The sequence below is a fragment of the Homo sapiens genome, chromosome 18 (assembly GCF_000001405.40).
Source record: "Homo sapiens chromosome 18, GRCh38.p14 Primary Assembly".
Classification (NCBI taxonomy): domain Eukaryota; kingdom Metazoa; phylum Chordata; class Mammalia; order Primates; family Hominidae; genus Homo; species Homo sapiens.
In genome coordinates, this window is record NC_000018.10 from 40,911,207 (window position 1) to 40,923,844 (window position 12,638).

Consider the following 12,638-nt stretch of genomic DNA (forward strand, 5'->3'; position numbering starts at 1 on the left):
AAGTCTATTACTCACTTTCTCGTCATCAGTTTCAATGTCCACAATAGTAAGAAACACATGCATTTCATAAATTTATAGTAAGGCATGACATGTAGAGTGAGTGTTTATTATAAATATTTTGAATGAATGAATAAAAGTTCCTAATTCCTGATCCAAATGTTTATTTTGTAACTCCGCTAAACTCTCAGCTAAGGAGTTAACATGTTGCACCCATCAGTTCTTTCCACTATCCATCCCTGTTTATGAAAACGCTCAAGACCTTCACATGGTGCTGTATTATAATGATCACCAGCCAGGCCTCTTCCCCTTCCATTGTGGCATGGGTCCCTCAGTGTCCCATCTTTTATCACTTGATTCTGGTTCTGTCTTAGATCAGCTAGTGTCAAATACATATTAGCCAATGTCAGTGCAACTGTGCTGACGTCTGATAGCCAATATTTTGTCTGATGCCATCAGTAAGAGTAAAATATCCAGCTGAACTAGGTAGCCTGTTTCCTTCTCCCCATGCCCACCACAGGACTGAGTACTTCGGAGACTAAAGTAGATTCTGAACCACACCACTGAGATTCTAGCTCCTTATTTTGCCTGCTGAAGGAGATCAAAAAGGTCACACTCTCTCTGTCTAAATCAGTTCCCTTTCCTACCTAGAAATTAAGAATAATAATGTCTATATAGTAGTTCTTGGTTATCCATGGTTTCATTTTGCCCAGTTTCAGTCACCCACAGTCAACAGCAATCCAAAAATATTAAATGGAAAATTTCAGAAATAAACAATTCATAAGTTTTAAATTGTGTACCACTCTGAGTAGCATGATGAAATCTTGTGTCATCTCACTCTAAGGGTGAATCATCCCTTTTTCCAGCATATCCACACTGCCTATACTACCCACGTGTTAATAACTTAGTAGCCATCTGCGTTGTTGCATTGACAGAACACAAGGGAGAATATACTACAATAAGACATTTTGTGTGTGTGAGAGAAGAGACTATATTCACAAAATTTATTAAAGTATATTGTTATCATTGTTCTATTTTATTATTTTTGCTAATCTCTTATTGTACCTAATTTATAAATTAAATTTTATCACAAGTATGTGTGTACAGGAAAAAACATGATATATATAGTGGTATATACAGGGCTCAGTACTATTCAAGATTTCAGGCATCAATTGGAGGTTTTGGGATGTATCCCCCAGGGATAAGGAGGAAATATTGTACCTATAATCAGAAGGCTAGTTAAAAAATATTAATGCTTGTGAAATGTATGTGCAACATGATATACAAACCCAATGTTACTATTTGTTGTTAGAGTTTTTGCCTCCTAGTTCGTAAGTGAGAATGGCGTATGGTTTTATTTTTGTGGTATGTATGTGTGTATGTGTGTGTGCTTTAAGTTTTAAGCAATCTGACATAAACTGGAATCTTTGGGATCTTTTCTATGGCCTGAAATATTTGAATGAATTAAAATGTATCCTAGAAAATTAGAACTCATTCTAATATTGTCTGTTCTTGGTGGCATTAAGATGGCAAGTATTCAACGAAAGTTGTCTGTAGTTTTATTTTTTTAAATCTATTTAGATATTTTGCCTCTTCTGGAAGCAATTTATTTATATTTTATCTTTATTTATATTTTATATTTTTATTAAAAATCAACTCAATTTTTAAATTTATAAATGTAAATTCACATGTAATCTTTTGTAATTAAATGACTTCTTTATTTGAGGGTCAGAGAAAAATCCTATTTCTAATCACACATAATACATATATAAAATTAACATATTATATATTTCATAATCAAAGATCTATTTGTTAGTTTTTGGAGAACAAGCTTTATTAATCAAATATGTTTTTAATTTCATTGTCATATTTGTTAATCATCAATGGTGTTAATTTTCTTCTATTTTCTCCTGGTTAATATTGTTATTATATATATAGTGGCTTAGTTGATGACAGCATAATTTATTTTCAACTTTTTTTACTTAGTAATACAAGTTACAAGGTTACACATTTTCTTTTGATTAAATCTTTAGCTACATCTCTAAATCTTGATCTAAAATGCAAGGGTTATTTTGAAGAAAGAATTGGTTAAGTCACATGGTGATTACTATCTGGTTCATGTCTATCTGTGCAACATTGTTGTCAGAGAATTTAGACTGTCTGCTCTCTACTTTCAAGAAGGTATTGAGGTTTCCAGTTTCACTAAGGATACAAGAGCTTTTAAATCTTTCATATGCACAAAATTATGTGTGGTCTTGATTTGTTGACTACAAAATAGTTATATCTGATAGACTGAGTGTATTATTTCTGCAATTGAACTTCCATATACCCATATTTAGGTTCTGTCTCTTTGGTCTTTTAATTAGCATAAAAGTGCATTAAACTTTTCTTTATGACTGTGGTTCTATCATTTTTCTTTATATCTAAGATAGCTTGCCATCTATGTTTTACTGATATTTTCTTTGGGCTATATTATTTTGTATACCTAAATGATAATAATAATAATAATAAATATCATGATTATTACAACCTATACTCATTAATTCCATTCTTAGACTTCTATTGTCTTTACTGTAAGAAATTTCCCAGTTTCTTGTTCCCCCATTACAAGTACTTCATTCAGTTCAACTTAATGCTGACATTTATTCTCTCAGCTATCCACCCATTTAACTATCACATCACTCAATATTTTTCACTTTCATCCGAAACAATGCCCCAAATGAGGACACTTATCTCCTGTTCTCATGTACTCTACTTCTGATCAGGTATAATTGTAAATATCCAATACACCGCTTCTGTCTTCATCTTTTCTATCCAATCCAAGTTTGATCTTCACCTCCTTCTCAGTTCTTTCAGTTATGACCTTTTGTCCCCATTCCTCATATTAAATATTCCAAACCCTCTGTAATCTTCCCACTCTTAAACCCCATTCTTGTCACCTATACTGTTAGCGGATGCCACAACTTCTAAACTAGCTGAGGATATTTATACTATCTAAAATGAACTGTCTTTATTTCTATCTTGTCCACTTAAAATCTCAGCATATTGGTTACCTTTGTCCCTTTTCATTTCTGCTACTTCTGAGAAAAAAAAAAACTTTGTATTCTTAACTCTTTGCCCATTTCTTCTCAGTTAAAACCTTCCCCACCTTTTCACTTTTTGACAATCTCTCCAACTCTTCTGGATCTTCACATCAGTATGCTCAAGATTTTGTGATCCTATTATTTAATTTATACTACTGTTTTGTATTCTGTTGTTTCATTGTACTATGTATATTTTATTACTTAATTGGAAACTATTTCTGATGTTCTTATCACTAGAATGGCAGTATCAGCTCAATGTTTCTTCTAAGCTTCCCACTTAATCAAATTACCCAAAGTTACCTCTCCTTAAATAGGTACTGGCTCATATCCATTCTTTCTGCCTGGGCCTTCCTATTGTCTTTATTCCATTAAAATCTTTCCCAGCTGAAGTTAAAGTTGTTAAGAAGAGTATTAACTAGAAGTAGGAAAAGTAGAAATCCAAATGTTAAATTCTTAATGCAATGTGTGATCATGTCCAATAAACTTTATTTTCTTGTGAAACAGGAATATCAATAACCACAGTGTCGCATTGTCTTAGAGAAAGATTTTAATAAAATGCTGTAGGAATGTATTATCATTTTCTGACATTATTATTTTCTACTTTTGTGGTTACATGTCCATTTCTTTAAAATATTATATACATATGTGTGTGTGCATGTGTGTGTGTGTGTGTGTGTGTGTATCTCCACTTTCTCAATAAAGCATAGGGAACAATGCCACTGCTTGTGAGTCCTTTGGCAGTAATCTTTCCGTCGGACTTATGTGAATGGCATGTCATTATGTTAAGTTTTCTTTCCTAATAGACTTCCTTCTGTGCCCTTCATACCAACCCAGATTTCTTCATACATTTATCAAACTATTTTAGAGTTATTTCTTCACACACCGCAATTGGGAGATTCCTGAAACCAAAACTAAGTACATTCAAATTTGTATTCTTAGGAAATAGAGTAGCAAAGTTAAGTGTCAATAAATATCTGTTGAATGAACCTTGGCAAGTCTATAGCCACTCTTTTTCAGGTAAGGGAAGAAGACTGGAATGTTGTGAATCCCCAAATGTAGGATCCTCACTTGAAAAATGTAGCACATTCCCATCAACGGGGTGTTACCCCATCATCTCCTTGAGCTCCATTATCTCCTCGAATTCCATTATCTTCATTCACCTCGCTCTTCCACTGATCATCTGAGCTAAAATAAAGTAGGATTTTTTAAAAAACACACTTTTTTTCAACTTACACCTAAAAAAGTGCAACTGCTTCTTTCTCTAAAAAGCAAAACAAGGAAAGAATCTCCTTGAAGCTCAATTTCTCCCATAGAGCTACAGAATGGCCACTGAAGTTGTGTATGAATGCATAAAACCCTGCCAGAGGGTATATAGAGTTTTTTATCTTTATTCCTTTTGTTGTGTTTTACAAATTGTTCAAGGCCCTGTGGGCCCAGTGTCTGAGAGAAGAGGGAGGACTTTTGAGTCCTTTCCAAATCCTCATTGTAGGGTAGTGGGATCCTACTAGGAGATTTCTTCAGCAAAATTTTCTTCATATTTGACCGACTGAGGGTGCACTATCCCTGAGCTCTGGCAATCCAGTTTATAAGGCTGCTTGTGGCAGTTGAGGTTCAAAAACAAAGCTGTGGGTAGAAAAAGATCCGAAAGTTTCAAAGGCAAAAGCAGCTTTCTGAAGTTTTCTAACATGTCTGTAGGAAGTAGAGAGGGAGTAACGCTGAGAATACCCTGCAAATTATACAAAGGAGACTTGAAAAGCTCCAGTATGTCAGTTTTCAAAAGTCCTCCTGAGGCCGAGAGACTGTGAAATTCTCATGTATGTTGATTTATGCAGTGATTTGCTTTGACCCCAGGGAAAGCTGCTTTATGGTTTGGACATCTATGCCTATCCACCTTCCCACCTATCTGTGAGAATCGCCGAACAAAATGTGCAAAGGGAAAATGAATGGAGCAAAAAATAAAGCAATCACAGAAATAATAAATACTCAATTCAAAAGTTAAACTTTATTTTTCTTTGTCCCTGTCTGAAAATTCCATGCACAGTGGGCCATATATTCTACCACAAACTTTATCCAAAGCTGATTTTGTTATACACTTGGATTGCTAAAAAACAAAACAAAAAAACAAAAAACACAAAAAAAATTGATACATTTTCAACAGAGATTGAGAAGGGCATTTTGGTTGAACAACCTCTTCCTATCTTTTGGCCTAGTCAAACTTAACCACTTTTTAAGACTTGCCTAATTCACCTGCTTTCTGGAACATTTTATGACCACACTAGTTCACAATTTGGCCATCTTCAAAGTCCCAATTTACCTATTATCTGAAACATGTTTAGATAATTAATCAAATGATAACTAGTTGACATTAATTGCATTTCATATCATTGTTATTTTACATTTTTGCCTGTGACTTCTGGTGATATTTACATTTTAAGACTTCTTGGGCACAAGATATAACATTTTGTACTAAAAAGTCTGGCCCCATTTTCTCGATTTCTGACTTTTGAGAGCTTTTAAACTTCACCACTCCCTTTTCTACTTCTACCCAAAATTGGGTAAGTTGATAAGAGAGTCTAGATCCTCCCTCCTTTGGTTCAGATAGGATTCAAATTATGCAACCACCGGCCCCCACAAGGAAATCTCCACTTCCATCCTACCCCTTAATCACAATAAAACTCCGAGCCTGTGTTATATTCTTGCTCACTCAAGCCATTTTCATACCAACATGGGAGGCCTTCTCTCCTTTCCCCAGGAAGCCTCATTATGTCAGTAGTAAACCTTTTCATGACCTCTTAGTGTATGTTTGAAGTTATCAATTTTGACATCTGAAACAAATTATGGGTTAACTCTATTCTCCCTATGTGGAGAGATTCCCATATCTTTCCTAGTACCTTGTCTTCAGGCTAATCATACAGAAAGTGCTTAATATTTACTTTTTAAATGCCTGTCTGAATGACTGTCATCTTCTTCAATTTTCTTTAGCAAACTGGAACTCAAATATTGGTAAGAGGGTATTAGTCAGTTATTCAGCCAGTTCCTCAGTTACTCAACTATTAAATGAGTCATAAAAATAGTCTTTGGTCTTCTCTTTGAAAAGCATCATATAATGAATAAGAAAAACTAAGAAAAAAGTAATAAAACTATAATACTGACTTCAGTATTATAATAGTATATATACTCACTATAATACTGACTTCAGTGTCCAAACCTTGGGGATGAGATAGAAAATATGTTTGCTGGTTGGGCATGGTGGCTCACACTTGTAATCCCAGCACTTTGGGAGGCCGAGGCAGGCAGATCACTTGAGGACAGGAGTTCAAGACCAGCCTGGCCAACATGGTGAAACCCCATCTCTACTAAAAATACAAAAAACAATTAGCCAGGTGTGGTGGTGAGCACCTGTAATCCCAGCTACTCAGGAGGCTGAGGCGGGAGAATCACTTGAACCCAGAAGGTGGAGGCTGCCATGAGCTGAGATCACGCCATTGCAATCCAGCCTAGACAACAAGAGTGAAACTCCATCTTAAAAAAAAAAAAAGAAGAAGAAAATACGTTTGCCATCTTGAGTCTCAATTTTGATGTGCAATAAAGTTGCGTCGGATCTAAGAGTAAGGAAATATGGGCTGGAGGTTGAGATTCTCACTTGCTAATGCAAAAATGTATGTCTATCAGGAGTCATGCTTTATATATTTTATCATTGAAAAAGGTATTTAGTAAGTATTTGCATATTTGCTTTTTTATAATCTCTTTCTAAAAGCAATTTGGAGATGTTTCTATTTTTTTAAAAATAATTGTTGAATATTCACCCACAAGCCCATGAGGTAGGTAAGGCAGCTGAATTCAGAATACATGGCTGCTGAGAACCGGAGAAGTCATGAATTGCCCAAGATCAAAAAGCAAACTTTCTGGTCTTTTGATACTTAGGCAATTTTATGGACCGAATGCTTATATCCCCCCAGAATGTTTATGTTGAAGCCCTAATCCCCAATTTGATGATACTTGGAAGGTGAGGACTTTGGGAGGTAATTAAATTAAGTAATGACAGTGAGATCCTTATGATAGGAATAAAGCCCTTATAACAAGAGGAAGAGACACATGATTTCTCACTGCATTCACCTACATGCACCAAGGGAAGACCATGTGAGCAAATAACATGAAGACGCCTGTCTGCAAATCAGGAGGAAGTCCTCATCAGACATTGAACCTGTCAGCACCTTGATTTTGGACTTCTCAGTTTCCAGAATTTTGAGAAATATGTGTTTGCTCTTTAAGCCACCAGTCTGCAATATTTTGTTCTAGAGGCCCCAGCTGACAAAGACAGGCAAGAATCTTCCCTTTATGGGACACTGCTTTCTCAGAAGCAATGTTTATATGAAAATTGAGTTATAAGATATTCATGAGTTGTCTGATATGTAAGTGCTTTGGAAAGGGTAAGTCATATATTTACTTATGTTCTGTTCACATGATATTCATGGAGTCCAGGTCCTGTTGGTGCCTACCCTCAGTGCCTAGCATGAATCTCAGTAGGTTACTGTTGAAGTGAATGAGGACGACATGCCTTGTGGAAAACAAAAACGACAGCAAAGATTCTAAACTAAAATTACCCTATACAATTATTCACTGTATTTATTTAAAGATACACTCCTTCTTTTAAACAAATTATATGTATGTATACATGTGTACGTGTGTTTCTTCAGGAAGCTACAGAATTAAGATAGGGGAGATGGGGAGAGGAAGAAGAATAGAAAGAGAGAGAAAATTTGTAGTGTTTTTGTTTTGCCTAACATTTATATGGACTTCTCCTAGTTATCTTTGTGAGAGAGATTCACAGTAGTAACTGATGTAAACCTGAACCAAACATAAAACAAAAATCAAACAACAAAAAACCATGCAGGTAGTTTTTGTCCAGGTCATTTAATAACTTTTCATAAATAGCATTCACAATGAGCAATGGAAGTTTACATCCTACTTTTTCTTGGGATAGGAAATTTATATGATTGGGAAATTTGTTGACAGGGCTATCTAACCATCTCAGATTAGATAAATCAACTTCAAATGATTGGCAGTGTTTTCTTATAATCTGCAAAACGAAACTCTGGCTAAACGAAATTCTGGCTAAACATTATTTTTAAATTTGCATCAACTCTTTGGGGGCACAAATAGATATCAACTCCCTCTTGACTCTTAGGCTGGGGTCCAACCACCTTGTCCCCTTTTGCACTGAGCTCATCTGGCCACTGCTTACTGCCCATGATTGGGAACCATTTTCTCTGCTCAACGCATGCACTGGACTGGTTCATTCTTCAGAGCAGTTGGTTAAGAATAATGATAATGATTTAGATTCCAGTGGGCAGTAAATATAAAATAATTAATCGTTAAGTAGCTTCATGAATGTAGGAGACTGCCTGCTAACCATGTGGGGAAGGAAAGGTGATTGAAGCATGCTAAAAAGTACAAGCAAAGAGAATTAGACTGGATAAAGTGAGGCAATAGGTTTTTTAATTCCTGGGACATAAACATTGGACCAAAAAACTTGAAAATGGATAAATGAGAAATTTGATTCTGTGACAGGAAAATTACATGTATGCAAATATGATACAGTTAACATACTTCAAAATGGTGCAAAAAGTGAAGTAGAAGGCTTCTTCTTGGATCAGTGTTTTGACAATAACAAACATAGATGCACCCAGAGATTGCTGAATCTACTAGCTATAATTATTAGATTATGAACTCTTCATTCAGAAATAAAACTATACATTTTTAAAACCATAATTATTCAGAGAAACCATGCATTTTGTTGCCCTGGCAAGAGAAAGGTTATTTTTGCAGGGCATAAAAGACCAAAGGATATGGCAAGCATGGCTGCTATAAAATGGAAACAATAAATAAACCAATTCCTTGACTCCAGTTTCCACGTTTAAAATGTTAAAACATAAAGTTAGAAATATGACATTTTTCTGTTTTCTATGCTTGGCTTTGCTTCCTAATGTGGCTCCAATATCCCTTAGGACACATGTGTGTTTCACGCATGTGGTATCTCCAGGGCCTTTCTCAGTGCCCTACATGAGGAAGCTGCTCAGTAAATGTCTGTAGGTGACAATGCTGGCAGATACAACTGTTTAGGATCAGGTTCACTAATATCTTCAGGACTACAAAGATTTTAGTCATCATTTATTTAAAAGATGTAGCAGCTTTAGCGAAAGCTCTTCTACAGCTTAAAGAACTCAGAATGTAACCCCCAGACCCAGTGATATCATGATAGTTTTTCAAAGAAGAGTTTTACAGCTGTCTTTGCTGTTTCAGAATCCAACAGTAAATCCTAAGAGGAATATCTCATTTTAAGGACCTTCTTCCAGACCTTACTTAGGACCCATCAACTGGGAACATTCAAGGGAATCCACATACAACACAGCCAGTTTCAAAATGCAGTGCTTTTGAGAAACACAGATTACTGGGCCCACCTCCAGAGATCTCAAGAGATCTTTCTTTTTGACAAGTGCCAAGGTAAGTCTGATGCGAGTAATTCATGTTGAAACAAATACGAATGCAGACTCTTTATAAGCCCCCTTGAATCATCTGTGCAATTAAAAAAAAAAGCTGCTGTCCCACCCCCAAAGACTTTGTTTTAATTGGTTTGGGGAGAACCTCCTACCATCTTTGTAAAAGCCCATGAGGTGATTCTAAAGTGCAGCTAAACTTGAGAATAATTTGAGTCCTCTTGAACGTGAGGCCCTCTGACAGCCAGAGCAACCTCCCAGGAAAAAAATTTCATTAACTAAAACCCAGCAGTATCTATCTCTGTGGAATCAACACCCTTAATCCAGTATGTGCTTAAATAATAAGAGACAACTTCACAGAGAGGTGTTATGTGTCCCCAGGAGAAACCAGCTTTCATTGACACAAATTAAGCCCTAGACAACTACCGTGACTGTTTTTCTTCATGCAACCACAGTTCTACCCTCTTCTGCCACCACTGAATGATCCTAGGCCTGCTAAGCACACCCCTGACCTCCCTGCACTCAGCTGGCTCTGTCCCCAGGGCGTTAACATGGCTCATCTCCTGAGGCATCATTGTGTTGCATAGCACCAAACGCTTTGCTTGTGGAGTGGACCCTTTCCCCTCCTACCCCAGCCCTCTGAAGCTTTTACTTTGGAATTCGGACTCCTGAGCAAGTCTCTAACAAGGCACTGAACACACTGAGTCTGAGGTCAGAGCCTGAGTCCACCAGTGGTGGGAGGGTTTGCCATGTTCTATGGCCCCGGCTCTTTGACCCTTCCCTTAAGTTGACTTGGTCTGCCATAAATCAAGTTGCTAATCCTTCATACCTGAACCACTGCTAAAGTAGCTACTCTTAATCCTTTGACTTCAGCTTTTCTTCCAACCTACTCCTTTCCCATTAGTCAAACTTACTAAAATACCACTATTTATTAAATCTATTGCTTTTTCAAAAAAGTTTGGGGCCCCACATGCCTGTATAATATAGCCATGCTTTTGCTGTGCAGCCTAATGTTTAACACTGGTTTCTTGGAGTCTTATTCTGCCCTCCAAACCTGAAAGAACAGTGTGTGATTCCAGCAAGCCCTCAATCTCACTGTCCCTCAGACACATGGAAGTCCCTCTTTCCTTGCTCACAAGCTTCCCCTCCTGAAAGCACATTCTCTCCCTTGTGCCTGGTAGAATGTTACTCACCTTTCAAGACCCTGTTCACAGTCCACTTGGCCTATAATACCTCTGATCTCATCAGTCCATAGTGGCTTTTTAAATCCTATAATGATTGTTTTCCTACCATTCACTGGACTTATAATACTGTGTTCTGTGCTCAGCTCTCTGGAGGTGGCCATATAATCTGCCTGACCTGCTTCTTTGTTTGCTTTTGTGTATACCCAGAAAGTAATTTCTAACTGACTAATTAGTAGACTGATTGATAAAGAAGCTAAATAAAGTTATGCAGAAATTTGTATGTAGTTAAAGCCAAAGGCAAGTGTTGTGGCTTTATGATAATATATTTTCATCTGTCGGTGTTCAAGGCCCGAATGGAGATCCTAACAAGGAAAAATTTTTTTTTTCTTTTTCTTAAACAAAGAGAGCTGACCTCACTCAATTACCTCTCTCTCTTCTCTCTGTGCCGACATGGGGCCCAAAGAGAGGTCTGAGTTCAAACACATGAAAAGTGCTTTGAAATGTCACTTGTTCACAACATCTGAGAAAATGCTGCCTTCTTTGCCCCCTACCAGTGTAATCAACTGTAATTTCAAATCAATATCTTGCCTCACCATGGATTGCTTTGTAAATCTGGTCTTCTTCTTGTTCTTTTTCTGCCTCATTACTTATCTTCGTCACCTACTGATATTAGTTGCTCCAGATACTAATGCAATTTTCCTGGCATGTGAAGTAGATTCAGCTCTTTGACAGTCAGATCTGAGTTTTCCAGCATGTTACAGAAAAGATTTATTTTCTGGCTATTTGTTCTAGACTTTCAAGTCCATTAAACTTAGTTAGAAAATGGAAACTCGTCTTCACATTGAGCTGGGGACGGTGCTCCAAATTAAAAGATTTCCACTGATCCCCACGGAGTCATTTCAGGGTGAAAGAGTGTTTAAGTCGACCATTTTAGAACATACTGGGGATAAGTTGAGAGAAGGATTGTCTTTCACCAAATTGATTTTCTGTTCTTGCATTATTTATTATTGTCTAAATTTATGTGGAAACATTGCCTCTCTTTTCTTGAGTGACTTCTCATCCATTTCTAAATTTTTATTGTGGCTGTGCACTAATTTGGCATTTTCTGAATGCTCTTTGTCTTTCCTGGGGCAAGCTCTTCCTTTTCCTACCTCTAGACTAGGGTTTGCTTGGTCTTGCCCCCTTCAGGAAGTGCCCTGGATTACTCAGTCTCCCACTCACCTTTCTCTTATCAGAACTTCTATAGCTATTATGAATCTTGTCTGAATTCCTGGGTTTAACATTGTATAACATTGTCTCTTCTCGTTCTCTCCTTATCTCATACATTATATCTAGTGTTCTCACCTGAACTGTGCTTTGTTTATCTATTCATTAGTCACAGCTCTATTAAACTGGTATCTGGTGACTCTATACATAGTCTTACAATTATTATAATAAATTAGGTTTATTATGCTTTACACGTGCAGCATGTCCCTCAAATAGATGGTAAGCTCACAGAAGGCAATAAATAAACAGTTTCTTCTTAATTATCTCCTGAATCCACGAATTTTTATCTCCCTTCACTGCTATAGCCTCATCCAGGGTACATGATCTCTCATAATGAGCATCCCAACAGCCTCCTAGAGGGTCTTCCTAAATCCATCTCCTATATTCCCCACCCTGCCTCTGGAGGAAAATTCAGAAACATAAATTTGATTTTATTCTCTCACTCTGTGGACATGTTCATGGGAAAACATGAATGAACTTTGAAAACTTTATGCTAAGTAAAATAAACCAGACACAAAAGGACAAATACTGAATAATTCCAAATATTGAATCATCCACTTATATGAAGTACCTAGAACAGGCAACTTCATAGAGACAGAAAATAGAAAAAA